The sequence below is a fragment of the Homo sapiens genome, chromosome 13 (assembly GCF_000001405.40).
Source record: "Homo sapiens chromosome 13, GRCh38.p14 Primary Assembly".
Lineage (NCBI taxonomy): Eukaryota > Metazoa > Chordata > Mammalia > Primates > Hominidae > Homo > Homo sapiens.
Genome location: NC_000013.11, coordinates 51,970,313 through 51,988,812, shown reverse-complemented (window position 1 = coordinate 51,988,812; position 18,500 = coordinate 51,970,313). Strand labels below are relative to the sequence as shown.

At 41.7% G+C, this 18,500-nt stretch overlaps 1 protein-coding gene across 41 annotated transcripts in view; it reads left to right on the top strand.

Moving 5' to 3' along the window:
• Nucleotides 1-18,500, top strand: part of ATP7B (ATPase copper transporting beta) — a 79,464-nt gene that overhangs the window by 23,320 nt on the left and 37,644 nt on the right. For 34 of the 41 annotated variants that reach the window (NM_001406541.1, NM_001406531.1, NM_001406527.1 and 31 more), the window contains 2 exons: nt 13,645-14,878; nt 18,064-18,321. In NM_001406541.1, the coding sequence (NP_001393470.1) occupies nt 13,645-14,878; nt 18,064-18,321 (1,492 nt within the window). Of the gene's footprint in view, nt 1-7,308; nt 7,377-13,644; nt 14,879-18,063; nt 18,322-18,500 lie in introns of those variants that run through there. The other 7 variants (NM_001406544.1, NM_001406536.1, NM_001406530.1 and 4 more) reach the window with 3 other exon arrangements.

Sequence of the window (18,500 nt, the reverse complement as noted above, 5' to 3'; positions counted from 1 at the left end):
TTTCTGTTCTTGTGTTAGTTTGCTGAGAATGGTGGTTTCCAGCTTCATCCATGTCCCTGCAAAGAACATGAACTCATCCTTTTTTATGGCTCCATAGTATTCCATGGTGTATATGTGCCACATTTTCTTTATCCAGTCTATCATTAATGGGCATTTGGGTTGGTTCCAAGTCTTTGCTATTGTGAGTAGTGCCACAATAAACATATGTGTGCGTGTGTCTTTATCGTAGAATGATTTACAATCCTCTGGGTATATACCCAGTAATGGGATTGCTGGGTCAAATGGTATTTCTGGTTCTAGATCCTTGAGGAATCGCCACACTGTCTTCCACAATGGTTGAACTAATTTACACTCCCACCAATAGTGTAAAAGTGTTCCTATTTCTCTACATCCTCTCCAGCATCTATTGTTTCCTGACTTTTTAATGATTGCCATCCTAACTGGCATGAGATGGTATCTCATTGTGGTTTTGATTTGCATGTCTGTAATAACCAGTGATGATGAGCTTTTTTTCATGTTTGTTGGCTGCATAAATGTCTTCTTTTGAGAAGTGTCTGTTCATAATCTTCACCCACTTTTTGATGGGGTTGTTTTTTTTTTCTTGTAAATTTGTTTAAGTTCCTTGTAGATCCTGGATATTAGCCCTTTGTCAGATGGATAGATTGCAAAAATTTTCTCCCATTCTGTAGGTTGCCTGTTCACTCTGATGATAGTTTCTTTTGCTGTGCAGAAGCTCTTTAGTTTAATTAGATCCCATTTGTCAATTTTGGCTTTTGTTGCCATTGCTTTTGGTGTTTTAGTCATTAAGTTGTTGCCCATTTCTGTGTCCTGAATGGTACTGCCTATGTTTTCTTCTAGGGTTTTTATGGTTTTAGGTCTTACGTTTAAGTTTTAATCCATCTTGAGTTAATTTTTGTGTAAGGTGTAAGGAAGGGGTCCAGTTTCAGTTTTCTGCATATGGCTAGCCAGTTTTCCCAAGACCATTTATTAAATAGGGAATCCTTTCCCCATTGCTTTTGTCAGGTTTGTCAAAGATCGGATGGTTGTAGATGTGTGGTGTTATTTCTGAGGCCCATGTTCTGTTCCATTGGTCTATATCTCTGTTTTGGTACCAGTACCATGCTGTTTTGGTTACTATAGCCTTGTAGTATAGTTTGAAGTTAGGTAGTGTGATGCCTCCGGCTTTGTTCTTTTTGCTTAGGATTGTCTTGGCTATCTGGGCTCTTTTTTGGTTCCGTATGAAATTTAAAGTAGTTTTTTCTAATTCTGTGAAGAAAGTCAGTGGTAGTTTGATGGGGATAGCATTGAATCTATAAATTACTTTGGGCAGTATGGCCATTTTCACGATATTGATTGTTCCTATGCATGAGCATGGAATGTTTTTCCATTTGTTTGTGTCCTCTCTTATTTCCTTGAGCAGTGGTTTGTAGTTCTCCTTGAAGAGGTCCTTCACATCCTTTGCCAAATTGTATTCCTGGGTATTTTATTCTCTTTGTAGCAATTGTGAATGGGAGTTCACTCATGATTTGGCTTTCTGTTATTGGTGTATAGAAATGCTTGTGATTTTTGCACATTGATTTTGTATCCTGAGACTTTGCTGAAATTGCTTATCAGCTTAAGGAGATTTTGGGCTGAGATGATGGGGTTTTCTAAATATACAATCATGTCATCTGCAAACAGAGACAATTTGACTTCCTCTCTTCCTATTTGAATATCCTTTATTTCTTTCTCTTGCCTGATTGCCCTGGCCAGAACTTCCAATACTGTGTTGAATAGGAGTGGTGAGAGAGGGCATCCTTGTCTTGTGCCAGTTTTCAAAAGGAGTGCTTCCAGTTTTTGCCCATTCACTGTGATATTGGCTCTGGGTTTGTCATAAATAGCTGTTATTATTTTGAGATACATCCCATCAGTACCTAGTTTATTGAGAGTTTTTAGCATGAAGGGGTGTTGAATTTTTTCGAAGGTCTTCTCTGCGTCTATTGAGATAATCATGTGGTTTTTGTCATTGGTTCTGTTTATGTGATGGATTTCGTTTATTGATATGCATGTGTTGAACCAGCCTTGCTGCATCCTAGGGATGAAGCCGACTTGATCATGGTGGATAAGCTTTTTGATGTGCTGCTGGATTCGGTTTGCCAGTATTTTATTGAGAATTTTTGCATCGATGTTCATCAGGGATATTGGCCTGAAATTTTCTTTTTTTGTTCTATCTCTGCAAGGTTTTGGTGTCAGGATGATGCTGGCCTCATAAAATGAGTTAGGGAGGAGTCCCTCTTTTTCTATTGTTTGGAATAGTTTCAGAAGGAATGGTACCAGCTCCTCTTTATACCTCTGGTAGAATTTGACTGTGTATCCACCTGATCCTAGACTTTTTTTGATTGGTAGGCTATTAATTACTCCCTCAATTTCAGAACTTGTTATTTGTCTATTCAGGGATTCGACTTCTTCCTAGTTTAGACTTTGGAGGGTGTATGTGTCCAGGAATTTATCCATTTCTTCTAGATTTTCTAGTTCATTTGCTTAGAGGTGTTTGTAGTATTCTCTGATGGTAGTTTGTATTTCTGTGGGATCGGTGGTGATATCTCCTTTATCATTTTTTATTGCATCGATTTGATTCCTCTCTCTTTTCTTCTTTATTAGTCTGGCTAGCGGTCTATCTATTTTGTTGATCTTTTCAAAAAACCAGCTCCTGGATTCATTGATTTTTTTGAAAGGTTTTTCATGTGTCTATCTCCTTCAGTTCTGTTTTGATCTTAGTTATTTCTTGTCTTCTGCTAGCGTTTGAATTTCTTTGCGCTTGCTGCTCTAGTTCTTTTAATTGTGGTGTTAGGGTGTTGATTTTAGAGCTTTCCAGCTTTCTTTTGTGGGCATTTAGTCCTAGAAATTTCCCACTAACCAGTGCTTTGGCTGTGTCCCAGAGATTCTGGGATGTTGTGTCTTTGTTCTCATTGGCTTCAAAGAACTTATTTCTGCCTTAATTTCATTATTTACCCAGTAGTCATTCAGGAGCAGGTTGTTCAGTTTCCATGTAGTTTTACAGTTTTGAGTGAGTTTCTTAATCCTGAGTTCTAATTTGATTGCACTGTGATCTGAGAGACTGTTTGTTATTATTTCTGTTCTTTTGCATTTGCTGAGGAGTGTTTCACTTCCAATTATGTGGTCAATTTTAGGATAACTGCAATGTGGTGCTGAGAAGAATGTATATTCTGTTGATTTGGGGTGGAGAGTTCTGTAGATGTCTATTAAGTCTGTTTGGTCCAGAGCTGATTTCAAGCCCTGAATATCGTTGTTAATTTTCTGCCTCATTGATCTGTCTAATATTGACAGTGGGGTGTTAAAGTCTCCCACTATTACTGTGTGGAAGTCTAAGTCTTTTTGTAGGTCTCTAAGAACTTGCTTTATGAATCTGGGTGTTCCTGTATTGGGTGCATATATATTTAGGATAGTTAGCTCTTCTTGTTGCATTGATCCCTTTACCATTATGTAAGGCCCTTCTTTGTCTCTTTTGATCTTTTTGGTTTAAAGTCTGTTTTATCAGAGACTAGGATTCCAACCCCGACTTTTTTTTGCTTTCCATTTGCTTGGTAAATCTTCCTCCATCCCTGTATTTCGAGCCTATGTGTGTGTTTGCACATGAGGTGGGTCTCCTGAATACAGCACATCAATGAGTCTTGACTCTTTATCCAATTCGCCAGTCTGTGTCTTTTAATTGGGGCATTTAGCCTGTTTACGTTTAAGGTTAGTATTGTTATGTGTGAATTTGATCCTGTCATTATGATGCTAGCTGGTTATTTTGGCTATTAGTTGATGCAGTTTCTTCATAGTGTCTATGGTCTTTACAATTTGGTATGTTTTTGCAGTGACTGGTACCAGTTGTTCCTTTCCATGTTTAGTGCTTCCCTTCAGGAACTCTTGTAAGGCAGGCCTAGTGGTGACAAAATCTCTCAGCATTTGCTTGTCTGTAAAGAATTTTATTTCTCCTTCACTTATGAAGCTTAGTTTGGCTGGATATGAAATTCTGGGTTGAAAATTATTTTCTTTAAGAATGTCGAATATTGGCCCCTATTCTCTTCTGGCTTGTAGGGTTTCTGCAGAGAGATCTGCTGTTAAGTCTGATGAGCTTCCCTTTGTGGGTAACCTGACCTTTCTCTCTGGCTGCCCTCAACATTTTTTCCTTCATTTCAAGCTTGGTGAATCTGACGATTATGTGTCTTGGGGTTGCTCTTCTTGAGGAGTATCTTTGTTGTGTTCTCTGTATTTCCTGAATTTGAATGTTGGCCTGTCTTGCTAGGTTGGGGAAGTTCTCCTGGATAATATCCTGAAGAGTGTTTTCCAACTTGGTTCCATTCTCCCCGTCATTTTCAGGTACACCAGTCAAACTTATGTTTGGTCTTTTCACATAGTCTTATATTTCTTGGAGGCTTTGTTTGTTCCTTTTCATTCTTTTTTCTCTATCTTGTCTTCACGCTTTATTTCATTAAGTTGATCTTCAGTCGCTGATATTCTTTCTTCTGCTTGATCGATTTGGCTATTGATACTTGTGTATGCTTCACGAAGTTCTTGTGCTGTGTTTTTCAGCTCCATCAGGTCATTTATGTTCCTCTCTAAACTGATTATTCTAGTTAGCAATTTCTCTAACCTTTTTTCAGGGTTCTTAGCTTCCTTGCCTTGGGTTAGAACATGCTACTTTAGCTCGGTGGAGTTTTTTTATTACCCACCTTCTAAAACCTACTTCTGTCAATTTGTTAAACGCATTCTCCATCCAGTTTTGTTCCCTTGCTGGCGAGGGAGTTGTGATCCTTTGAAGGAGAAGAGGCATTCTGGTTTTTGGAATTTTCAGGCTTGTTGCGCTGGTTTCTCCCCATCTTCATGGATTTATCTACCTTTGCTTTTTGATGTTGGTGACCTTCGGATGGCGTTTCTGAGTGGACGTCCTTTTTGTTGATATTGATGCTATACCTTTCTGTTTGTTAGTTTTCCTTCTAACAGTCAGGTCCCTCTGCTGCAGGTCTGCTAGAGTTTGCTGGAGGTCCACTCCAGACCCTGTTTGCCTGAGTATCACCAGCAGAGGCTACAGAACAGCAAAGATTGCTGCCTGTTCCTTCCTGGAAGCATTGTCCCTGAGGGGCACCTGCCAGATGCCAGCCAGACTCTCTTGTATGGGGTATCTTTTGGCCCCTGCTGGGGGGTGTCTCCTGGTCAGGAGACACAGGGGTCACGGACCCACTTGAGGAGGCAGTCTGACCCTTAGCAGAGCTCGAGCACTGTGCTAGGAGATCCACTGCTCTCTTCAGAGCTGGCAGGCAGGGACCTTTGAGACTGCTGAAGCTGCACCCACAGCCACCATTTGCCCCAGGTGATCTGTCCCAGGGAGATGGCTTCATCTATAAGCCCCTGACTGGGGCTGCTGCCTTTTTTTCAGAGATGCCCTGCCCAGAGAAGAGGAATCTAGAGAGGCAGTCTAGCTACAGTAGCTTTGCTGAGCTGCGGAGGGCTCCAGCCAGTTGCCATTTCCCTGTGGCTTTGTTTACACTATGAGGGGAAAACCACCTGCTCAAGCCTCAGTAATGGTGGATGCCCCTCCCCCGACCAAGCTTGAGCATCCCAGGTCGATTTCAGACTGTTGTGCTGGCAGTGAGAATTTCAAACCAGTGGATCTTAACTTGCTGGGCTCTGTAGGGGTGGGATCCGCTGAGCTAGACCACTTGGCTCCCTGGCTTCAGCCACCTTTCCAGGCGAGTGAACGGTTCTGTCTTGCTGGCATTCCAGGCACCACTGGGGTATGAAAAAAAAACTCCTGCAGCTAGCTTGGTGTCTGCCCAAACGGCTGTCCAGTTTTGTGCTTGAAACCCAGGGCCCTGGTGGTGTAGGCACCCGAGGGAATCTCCTGGTCTGTGGGTTGTGAAGACCGTGGGAAAAGTGTAGTGCCTGGACCAGAGTGCACCATTCCTCATGGCACAGTCCCTCGCGGCTTCCCTTGGCTAGTGGAGGAGGTTCACTAACCACTTGTGCTTCCTGCATGAGGCAACACCCCACCCTGCTTTGGCTTGCCCTCCATGGGCTGTACCCGCTGTTTAACCAGATGAGCTGGGTACCTCAGCTGGAAATGCAGAAATCACCCTCCTTCTGCGTTGATCTCGCTGGGAGCTGCAGACTGGAGCTGTTCCTATTCGGCCATCTTGCCACAAGCTGATGTTAGTCTTTTAGGGCCCATTAGCTCTCAAGCCTTCCTGTACAACTGTAAGATGGCCATTATTATTACTCCCGCCAGATGCCAGCCGGAGCTTTCTTGTATCTAAACCTGTGTTTGTTTTTTAAAACTCATCAGGAGAGTTTTTTCCTCCAAAGATCATCTTAATTGAAGAACTGAATTAAAAGCATACATGTGCCCTGTGTCTACACTTAAAACTATCCAAAACACAAACCTTTATACCTAAAGGAAACTGAGGCCTGGATTTGCTCAGATAATGCTGGAATTCATACTTAAAACTCTCAGACATACCCTCAAGAAATTCAGAAGTAGGAAAGACAGATATTTAAACAAATATATGTGAAAATGCTCTTTGAACTATAAAGCAATTTACAAAAGTGTCATCAATTCATCATTGTTGTTATCTTTATCACAGTCAATAATATTGTTGCCCAAATTAGAATGGTTTAACAAAACATTTTCTTCCTTGCCTTAGAGCAGGGGTGTCCAAACTTTTGACTTTCCTGGGCCACATTAGAAGAAGAATGTGTCTTCGGCCACACATAAAATACGCTAACACTAATAATAGATGATGAGCTAAAAAAAAAAAAAAAAAATTCACACCCAAAAAAATCTCATTATGTTTTAAGAAAGTTTACAAATTTGTGTTGGGCCGTATTCAAAGCCATCCTGGGCTGCATGTGGCTTGCAGGCCATGGGTTGGACAGGCTTGCCTTAGACAAACGGGAAAATCACATTTATTTTCTGCTTGTGAAAGTAACACTTGTTTTTTTAATTTAAGTTTGAAAAATTGGAACTATGTACAGATATTTTTAAAAATCAGTATTTCATAACTCACCAAAAGATAACCTGAATTTTCTCTACTGATATTTACGTTTATCCCCCTGTATACTTAATGTTCATAGAGGTTAATATGGGACATTGATTCTTCCTCAGTGGGGGTTTTAGAGACCAACCCCCACTGGCCTGGATGCCTGGGATGGTTTGGGTGAGATCCTTTCTTGAGTCAGGCATCATTTTTGACCTGTGCCCTCCCCTGTGAATTTGTGGCATCCAGAGAATTCTTAGATAAGGCCGAGCAAGGCAGTACTCATTCCAGATATTCAGGATGTACGTGGTCCAGAGCTGTTGTCTTCTCTGACTTGTGTCTTGTGTGCCTTCTCCTGTAAGTGTGGTTGCCTTGATTAGGGATATTGAGGAAAGTGGAGCGAGTGTGGATATTTTGCTGTAGTTTTCCTGAGGTGACAGATACTAGTGGGTGAAGCCAGGGCTCAGGCAGCTCAGCTCTCTTGTGTGTTAGCCTGGCTTGCTGCTTGCAGGTATGGCTGTTTATTTTCATTTCACTTTTCTGCATTGTAGTCTCTTCCTATAATTAACATGGCTGAAAAGAAAAGGTTACTCTAAAAGTTGTTTTTAAAAAATACAGAGCCTCTCGGATTTCTCAGCAGCGTTTAAATCCCAGCTCTGTTACTTAATGTTGATTTGTGCTCTTGGATAAGCTTCTGAGTCAGTTTCAACAGTGAAATGGTGATAATATCTCCTTCTAGAATTGCCCTAAGCATGAGGGATATAAAATGCCATCCTCATAAAATAACACTCAGAATCATTAATTATTTGTTATTATTGGATCTGCGTGCATATGAAAGAATCCGGACTTTTTTGTATTTTGAATCCCATGAAAGTTCAGATGTGTTAAGTTGTATGGGGGGAGGTGATATATTGGAAAAGTTGCCTTCATGTATAACATGTTTGCCTCATAAGTTGTTATGGGTGTTATACATCCTTCAAAGTGAAAGAATTCTTGAGGATAGGCAGCAGGGGACTGACTGGTATCCTATTTAAGGTTGATGGGAATCCAAGAGTGATCAAGAGACCTCCAAAGTGGCCAGTGGTCCTTCACTTGTACATGAGTTAGTATTTTTTGATTTGTGATCACAGCCACTTTCTAACAAAGCATGTTGTTTCTGCTTTTTCACTATCAGATTGGCTTTGAAAGCCTTCATGAAAACATGCCACCCAGTTTCTGATTTCTTCATATCAGAATGGCTTATCCAGAGATTTTGTTTTCCTTTCTGGCTTCATCTTGGTGAATCAGTAGTTATTTTTTTAACCTATATTTTATTTTAAAAGCCCTGGCACTCTCAGCAAATTTCGTGTGACTTGGGTACCTAGAGAGGTAGCAGAGAATTGAAATTCACTTTTGGACTCCCTTCTGTGGCCTCCTCTGCTTCCAGTCCTTTCTCATCCTGACGTCTACCATCATTTATCAAAAATTCAAAAGCTAGAAAAAGTCATTCTAAAGCCTGGTGTTGGGTCTGCAGAAAATGTCCCAAATGTCTGTCCGTAAGGAGTGCAGAATCTAGTGGGAATTAGATAAACTAGGGCTTTCACAAGGCTTTCTGGGATATCCATGTGGAACCTTGGCCTGCTCTCCATTTCTGTGACTCTTTGATGGGCCCTTAAATCTAAACCTGTGTTTGTTTTTTAAAACTCATCAGGAGAGTTTTTTCCCCCAAGGATCATCTTAATTGAAGAACTGAATTAAAAGCATGCATATGCCCTGTGTCTACACTTAAAACTATCCAAACACTACCAGTTGTTTAATGAGGTTGTTCCTAGACCAACAGATACTTTAGTGTTTTGTAGAGATATGTTATTTGCAAGGCTTTGTCTTCTGTAACTGCTTGGCCTTAAAAACCTGCCTGTCTAGAAAGGGGGGCCTCTGAGTAGTGTTTGATAATAAGAAATTGCTTTCAGTACTACTGCAAACCCTTTTGGCAGAAACATAGAATCAACATTCTAGAAATTAAGGGCTGCTGTTATGGTTTGGGGTTTGTAAAGTTGTAGTTGGAGCGAGGACCAAAAAATGTAAACTGGGTTATCATGAGGGATTTGTTTTTCCAACAAACTAGATGGTTGAGGGTTATGTCTTTCTTATTATGAGGAAGAGGTTTTTGCCTAATAAGGTACTATATGAAAATGAATGTCTTTGAATATCTTCTTAGTTTTTCTTTTATCCTTGGTTCTTTTTTAATTAAAGAAGTATTTAATTAACACCAACTACAATCAAGTCACTGTTCTGAGTCTTCTTTGTGCTCATGTTATTTTAATTTTAAATTAATTTTTAGATTTTGGTAATGTGTGTATTGTACAGTTAAATTATATAGTGAAAGTAATTCTCTGTATCCCAGCCACCTGGTCCCCTTCAGCTGCCTAATCTTCCTCAAATTCTGTACTAGCTTTTGCACTGTCCCAGAGATAATCCATGCCTATACAAGCATCCATTTGTATGATATTCTCTTGTTTCACACAGGTAGTCCTAGCACCATGACAGAATTGTAGCCCTCTCAGTGAACTACACACCCTTGTATTCAAGCTCCGTGTAATTCCTGCCCATATTGACTGTGCTTGGCCGTGTGACTGGTTTTGGCCAATGGGTGTTAGCAAGTGTGATGCAAGCAGAGGTTTGATAAGAGCTTGCACTTTGAAATGTGTTCTAGAGGAGTGCTTGCTATTGTGACACTCCCTCTCAGTACCCAGAAGCCCCCAGCTGTGAGGTCCCCACCTAGTCATAAAGAGAAGCCACATGGAAGAGAACCGGGTCCCTGCCAACAGCCTCATCTGAGCCCCTAGCCGGCAGCAAGCATCCACTTGGCAGCCATGTGATGAATGAACTATCTTCTTGGAAGTGGAACTGCCAGCCCCATTCAGGCCACCCCCAGTGGTGCTATGTGGAGAAGAGACAAGCTTTCCCTGCCAAGCCCTGTCCGAATTGAAAAATTGTGAGCTGTTGCTAGTAATGTACTAAAGTTGGTTTGTCATGTAGCAACAGATAACAAACACATGCTATATATATGATATTTTCTGTGCCTTGCTTTTGTTGCTGAGCAGTATATTAGATATCAGCTTATTTCATTACATACAGAGTCACATCATTCATTTTAAGAGCTGAATAATATTCCATTTATGGCTGTACAGTAATTAACTAGCCTCTTATTGATGGACATTGATGTTTCTAATCTTTCTCAGCATTTAATATCTCCATGGCATGCTTTGTTTTGCACATGAACAAATATATTTATTGGGTAAATTCTTAGAAGTAGAGTTGCTGAGTAAAAGAGTACGTAAATTTGTAATTTTAATAGGTATTGCAAATTGCCCTCCAGAGAGGTTACACTCCCACTAGCAATGTAGGAAGACTGTGCCAGTGTGGTTGGAATGTTACATTTCTTTTTAATATTTTCCCATGTATTTTAAAAACCATATGCATTTCTTTTTTGATGAACTGTCTTCTTTTTTGTTTGGATTGTTGGCCTTTTTCTTTTTTGGAGGAACTCTCTGTATTTAAAGAAATTAACTCTTAATGTATGCTATGTGAAGCAAATCTTTTTTCCCCCAGTTTTTTATCTTTTGACTTCATTTGAATAATTTTTTGTCCTTATTGTGTTTAGTTATGTCAAATCTTTTATAGCTTTTGGATTTTCTTGGTTTTGTTCTGGTTTGTTGGTCATATTTAGGCTTTTCTCACTTTAAGATTATTGTAGATATTCTCCTGTGTTTTCTTCTAGTGTTTTTGTTATTTCTTTTTTACATGTTAATCTTTGATCTGCCTGAAATGTCTTTTGACGTAGACGTTTCCAGGTAGGTGTCCGAGGTGGCTAGTCATTTGTCTGTTAATATTGTTATACCATGTCATCCTTACTATACAGTCATGATGCTTTAGTCAATGATGGACTGCACATATGACACTGGTCCCATGATATTACAATGAAACTGAAAAATTCCTATTGCCTAGTGATCTCGCAGCTGTTGTAATGTCATAGTAATGCATTACTCATGTATTTTTGGTGAGCTGGTGTAAACCAACTTACTGTACTGCCAGTCATATAAAAATAGAGCACATACAATTCTGTACAGTACATAATACTCGATAATAAATGACTATGTTACTGGTTTATGTATTTACTATACTCTATTGTTATTTTAGAGTGTACTCCTTCTACTTATAAAAAGAAAAAGTTAACTGTAAAGTAGCCTCAGGCAGGTCCTAGGAGGTATCCAGAAGAAGGCATTGTTATTATAGGAGATGACAGCTCCATGCCTGTTATCGCACCTGAAGACCTTCCAGTGGGAGAAGATGTAGAGATGGAAGACAGTTATACTGATGATCCTGACCATGTGTAGGCCGAGGCTAATGTATGTGTTTGTGTCTTAGTTTTTAACAAAAATGCTTAAACAGTTTAAAAATAAAAAAATTTTAAAAGCTTATAGGATAAGTATATAAAGAAAATATTTGATAAAGCTGTCCAGTGTGTTTGTGCTTTAAGCTAAGTGTTATTACAAAAGAGTCGAAAGTAAAAAAAAAAAAAATTAAACGTTTATGAAGTAAAAAAGTTACAGCAAGCTGAGGTTAATTAATAAATTATTATTATTGTTTCAGAGACAGGGTCTTGTTTTGTCTCCCAGGCTAGAGTACAGTGGTGCAATCATAGCTCACTGTAACCTTGAACTCCTGGGCTCAAGCAGTCCTCCTGCCTCGGCCTCCCAAAGCATTGAGATTACAATGAGCCACTGTCTGGCTATGTTGATTTATTGTTGAAGAAATAAAACTATTTTTTATAAATTTAGTGTAGCCTAAGTTTACAGTGTTTATAAAATCGACAGTAGTGCAGTGTCCTAAGTCTTCACATCTACTCAACACTCATTCACCGACTCACCCAGAGCAACTTCCAGTCCTGCAAGCTCCATTCATGATAAGTGCCCCATACAGGTGCACCATTTTTTAATCTTTTATATTGTGTTTTTACTGTACCTTTTCTATGTTCAGATATGTTTAGATACACAAGTACTTACCATTGTGTTACAATTGCCTACAGTATTCAGTACAGTAACATGCTGTACAGGTGTGTGGCCTAGGAGCAACAGGCTACACCATACAGCTCAGGTGTTTGGTAGGCTACATCAGCTAGGTGTGTGTAAGTGACTCTATGATGGTCACACAACGATGAAGTCACAATGATGACTCATTTCTCAGAATGTATCACCATCCTTAACATCATTAAACATTCATGTATTTACTGGATTCAGCAATATCTTTTGAACTGCTGTCCCCCAAATTACTTAATTATTCCCTTTTTTCTCTTAGGAAATGCTACAGTGAATATTTAAAATTCTATGTAATTATTAATCCCAAACCTTTGTGGATATAGAAATCAACATTTATATAGTCTGCATTTTACAAGTTATTTAAACATTTGTGTTGTTAAGCTGCTCAAAAGCCGGTTGGCAAGGTCTGCATTTTATGCACAGGAAAAAGGAGAAGATCATTCCATGTAAAGGAGATTCATCTGAAGACAAGCAGGATTGTGTACAAGTAGAGAGAAATGTGCTTTTTTATGATGTATCATGTATAAAGGCCTGTTCCCAAATTTCTGAAGCACATGGAAGTTCTGGTGTAAAAAGTATATCTAGTTAAGACAGCTGTAGGCTGGGAGCCTGTGAAAGGAAGATTTTGCTTGTTAATAGAATGACTGAGACTACATCATCCTGTGTAGAAACCAGGGAATAACACTTGTACTGTGTTGTGTTAAGAAAACAGGTTCTTTAATTAAGTGATGTACCTGAAATTTCAGGTAATGACTACAGCTCTCCTGAACACCCAGGAGGGCGGTGACACTGAGTCACAGGCAGAACTATGAAATTCCTTGTGAAACTCAACTTTCTGTTCTTCCAGCCTTTCCCCTCCCGCCCCTCGGCTCAGCCACAGGTGCTCATTAAACCTCGCCCAGGGAGCATACCTCCAAAGCTTTTTCACAGGCATGTGGCCCACCTTTGGATTCCGACCCTATGGTCCTGGGAAGTCTGCATTTGGAGCGTGTACCTGAAGGGTGTTAAGCACATTTAACCTCTGCTAAGATAATCAGACAGACACCCCTAGAAAGAGATATAGAAGTAAGGTGTTGACTATTCTGGGGTTTGTATTTCAGCAGGACCCCCAAAGTTTGAGCTGAAAGGACTAAGTTCTGTGGGGAGGTATCAGCCAGAGGTGGGGACCTCTTTTGGGATACCTGTGCCTTCCCACCGTGAGCCGCTGTGCCCTCTGCCTCTGCTGCAGGCCAGCCGTGCTGCATTCCATATGTAAAGCTGTGTCGTGCTTTCCTTCTTTCCCTCAGAATCCTCCACGTCTGTTGTGTGAGAACGACATTTCACTAAGGAGGACAGACAGTTAGCTTCTGTCAGAGAAGAATGTCAGAGCTCTTTCATTTTGTAGATGCTGCCTTTAGCTTGCTTTCTGTGTATGTTATGTTCTTCTACCCTTGGGATATTTTGACACCAGTGGCATTGTTTTCCATTTTCTCAGTGCCAGAGAAGCTGGGATGTTGTAGAAAATATTTGGTTTCAAGGTTAAAAAATGTTATTTCTTTTCTTTTTAGATCTTATCTAAGCTTTCTTTGCCTACCCGTGCCTGGGAACCAGCAATGAAGAAGAGTTTTGCTTTTGACAATGTTGGCTATGAAGGTGGTCTGGATGGCCTGGGCCCTTCTTCTCAGGTGGCCACCAGCACAGTCAGGATCTTGGGCATGACTTGCCAGTCATGTGTGAAGTCCATTGAGGACAGGATTTCCAATTTGAAAGGCATCATCAGCATGAAGGTTTCCCTGGAACAAGGCAGTGCCACTGTGAAATATGTGCCATCGGTTGTGTGCCTGCAACAGGTTTGCCATCAAATTGGGGACATGGGCTTCGAGGCCAGCATTGCAGAAGGAAAGGCAGCCTCCTGGCCCTCAAGGTCCTTGCCTGCCCAGGAGGCTGTGGTCAAGCTCCGGGTGGAGGGCATGACCTGCCAGTCCTGTGTCAGCTCCATTGAAGGCAAGGTCCGGAAACTGCAAGGAGTAGTGAGAGTCAAAGTCTCACTCAGCAACCAAGAGGCCGTCATCACTTATCAGCCTTATCTCATTCAGCCCGAAGACCTCAGGGACCATGTAAATGACATGGGATTTGAAGCTGCCATCAAGAGCAAAGTGGCTCCCTTAAGCCTGGGACCAATTGATATTGAGCGGTTACAAAGCACTAACCCAAAGAGACCTTTATCTTCTGCTAACCAGAATTTTAATAATTCTGAGACCTTGGGGCACCAAGGAAGCCATGTGGTCACCCTCCAACTGAGAATAGATGGAATGCATTGTAAGTCTTGCGTCTTGAATATTGAAGAAAATATTGGCCAGCTCCTAGGGGTTCAAAGTATTCAAGTGTCCTTGGAGAACAAAACTGCCCAAGTAAAGTATGACCCTTCTTGTACCAGCCCAGTGGCTCTGCAGAGGGCTATCGAGGCACTTCCACCTGGGAATTTTAAAGTTTCTCTTCCTGATGGAGCCGAAGGGAGTGGGACAGATCACAGGTCTTCCAGTTCTCATTCCCCTGGCTCCCCACCGAGAAACCAGGTCCAGGGCACATGCAGTACCACTCTGATTGCCATTGCCGGCATGACCTGTGCATCCTGTGTCCATTCCATTGAAGGCATGATCTCCCAACTGGAAGGGGTGCAGCAAATATCGGTGTCTTTGGCCGAAGGGACTGCAACAGTTCTTTATAATCCCTCTGTAATTAGCCCAGAAGAACTCAGAGCTGCTATAGAAGACATGGGATTTGAGGCTTCAGTCGTTTCTGGTACGTAGTGTGTTTGAGGCATGTCCTGAGCTTGTCTCCTTTTCTCTTTGTGTCTTATAGCTCCTGGATGGTGGTATAGGTGAGCCCTGCTCCCTGCCTCCCATGTCAACAGTGGAACAAAATCCTGCAAACTTTCCTTGCATGTTAAATTTGTTAAGATAGAGGAAATATAATCTCCAAGTGTCTAGATTTTGCTTTTCATGTAGTTGGGATTTTGTATTAGTCTGTTTTGTGTTGCTTATAACAGAATGGCTGAATTTGGGTAATTTATAAAGATATGGAATTTGTTTCTTATAGTTACTGAGAAGTCTAAGGTTGAGGGCCACATCTGGTGAGAGCCTTCTGCCAGTGGGGACTCCGGTGCCACAGGGCATCACATGGCAGGGGTGCTGAGCATGCTCACGTGGTTGCTTAGGTGGCTCTTCCTCTTTTTAGAAAGCCTCGATGCCACACCTGTGATAACCCATTAATCCATGAGTGGATTCCATTCATGAGGGTAGAACCCTCATGATCCAGTCACTTCTTAAAGCCCTCACCTTTTAACACTGCCACATTGGGGATTATGTTTCCAACACATGAAATTTGGGGGACACAGTCAAACCATGGCTGACTTGAATGCGAACCTCCTTGGATTTGGGCTTCTTTTCTGGAGAGAATTCTGATTCTGTATCCTGAAATAGAGCACTGTGGGACCATCCAGGCCCTTTTCTTACCAAGAGAACTATTATCACCTTCTCAAAAGATTTTACTGCTAAACAACAGAACCTTAGTCTCATCACCTAGAGACCATGCTGGTAAAAATGAGAGTTAAGGAAAGGATTTATAAATGATTTTTTTCTCCCTGTTTGATGAATATAAGAGAAGAGGTAAAGGTGAGGGAGCCACCAGGCTTTTATATTTTTTAATTAAAAAATTTTTTAATTTTTTTAGGGACACGGTCTTGCCCTGTTGTCCAAGATGGAGGATAGTGACATGATCATAGGTCACTGCATCCTTGAACCTTTGGGCTCAGGTGATCCTCGCACCTCAGCCTCCTGAGTAGCTGGGACTACAGGTGTGCACCACCACACCGGGCTCATTTTTTATTTTTATTTTTTTGTAGAGACGGAGTGTTGCTGTGTTTCCCAGGCTGGTCTTGAACTCTTGGCCTCTAGCAATCCTCCCGCCTCAGCCTCCCAAAGTGCTGGGATTGCAGGCGTGAGCCACTATGCTCAGCCACCATCATGGGTTTTAATCAGAGGAAGCACGAAGTCAGATTATATTTTAGAAGACTGGTGTGGTGTCACAGTACAGTGTCCATGGAGGCAATGAGACCACGTAGGAGGCCGGGTGAGAAAGAGGTGGGTTTGAAAGACATTCAGGAGGGCAGCTCCACCAAGCTTGGGGTCACCAAGAGGGGTGTGTGATGGGGAGGGCCATGGAGGAAAGGGGTAACTGGGATGAGCCTTTAGCTGAGATGCTGGAGGACAGTGGGATAGAAGGGCCTTGAATTTTGAGGGAGAGTGTGGGGCCGGAAATGCAGAGTGTGGGAAGATGACAGAGACCTAGAAAGAGTGATTGTGAGATGGGAAAGAATTAGAGGGAGGAGGAGGGGTCTCCTAGTCACCCTGGACATAATGCGAGCCGCAGAGGCCAAGGTCTGAATCGTATCTTCGCGGGTTAACTAGGGGAGGCCATTGGAGGCCTCGGCAGCTGCTTCAGGACCCTGGGAAGGTGGGAGCCCAGCTTGGCTGCTGGTAAGGGTGGAGACCACTAGTAGCTTAGATTAGGGATAAAGAGGATGATAGGTGAGTGGAGATGGTTGAGAGAAATGCTGAAGATAAGGAGGGAAGGGGCACATGTTGTGAGGGGCAGCTGTGTGGGTGGTGTGTTGTAACCGATTAGGTCCCAGACATGGGCCCTGCCCGTGCGTGTCTCTGTGGACTGGACCAGGACATGGCTGGCTTCCTCAGCCTTTTGGCTGGAGCTCGGTACTGTAGGGAGCAGCGGGCCCAACACTAAGAAGAGCTGCTTTCAGTGGCGTGGGCAAGCCCACTGGCAGCTCAGTGCTCAGGGATGGCTGAACTTTGGTTTCCCACATCATTTCCTGTGGTCACTGAGATAAAGTTTGTGTCCTTGAAAAGTTCACTCAGCTGTGAGTCTTTGCTGCCTCCCCTCTGTGCCCACAGCACACACCTACTGCTGAAGGGAGTGGGCATTCATGTGGAGTGGCCTGGCCCCATTTTGTGCTTTGTCTTTTGTATCAAGTTTCAGGAAGGAGTTTCTTTAAAACAAAAATCAATAAGGAAAACACAATAGAACAGTAAATCCTGTACGCAATAGGTAAGAAATATAGTATAAGGTAAACATCTGCCTGTTTTTGTGTGATGTTTAAAGTCTTTCAACCGTGCAATCAGGTTATTAGTGGTAAAAAGAAATTAGCACTGAACTTACATATTACAGAATAATTGGATTTGATTAAATAAACCTAGAAAGAAAAGAATAGTGATTTTTTTAATTGGGCAGGATTATGAGAATTTTATTTAGCCGAAGAGGTATTTAGGGTATCAGACTTAGCAAATAAAAATATAGGACATCTACTTAAATTTTAATTTTTCATAAACAATGAATGGTTTTTTAGTATAAACATGTCCAGCTCAATATTCATGACATATGTATAGTAAAAATTATTTGTTGTTTGTCTGAGAATCAAATTTAACTGGATGTCCTGTATTTTACCTGGCAACTTTAATTTGGAATAAACCATTAGTGTGCCAGTTTGTATTTGAAGAGCCCTTCTTGATTGATTAGGAGCTCCTTGAGGACAGCCTTGCGGCCAGCGTGATTTGTTTCTCCTTGGACTCAATAGCACCCCGCATGCAGTAAGTATTCCTGAAGGAAATGAAAGATAAGGTGAAGTTACGGGGTAGCTCAGTGGAAGGATTTAATATAGAGAACTATTTACAAAGGTATTAGAGAGCTGGAAATCCAAATAGGCAATGGGAAGAACCCCAGAGATTAACAACAGCAGGGAGCTCTGTCCTCCAGGATGGCTGAGGGACAAGGTAGTTACTGGAGCCCAGGGGCTGAGGCTGCTCGGTGGGAGCCGGGACAATGAACCCTCACCAAGAGCCCTGAAACCTCTTGTTCTGAAAAACATATTATTTGCTCTTCTAATTTGAATATTTTCTGACATTTTATCCTAGAAAGCTGTTCTACTAACCCTCTTGGAAACCACAGTGCTGGGAATTCCATGGTGCAAACTACAGATGGTACACCTACATCTGTGCAGGAAGTGGCTCCCCACACTGGGAGGCTCCCTGCAAACCATGCCCCGGACATCTTGGCAAAGTCCCCACAATCAACCAGAGCAGTGGCACCGCAGAAGTGCTTCTTACAGATCAAAGGCATGACCTGTGCATCCTGTGTGTCTAACATAGAAAGGAATCTGCAGAAAGAAGCTGGTAAGAGATGAACGCCCATGTTGAACTTAGGAATGCTGCGTATAGACCTCGTATTCTCCCTTCAGAATACCCAGCAACTGTGTTTATCAGTAGCCCTGATAACCAGGTAGCAAGTTCATTATATAGCATAAATGTTTGTCTAATGTCCTTGTATAACTGGCATTGTGTTCTTTAAGAAG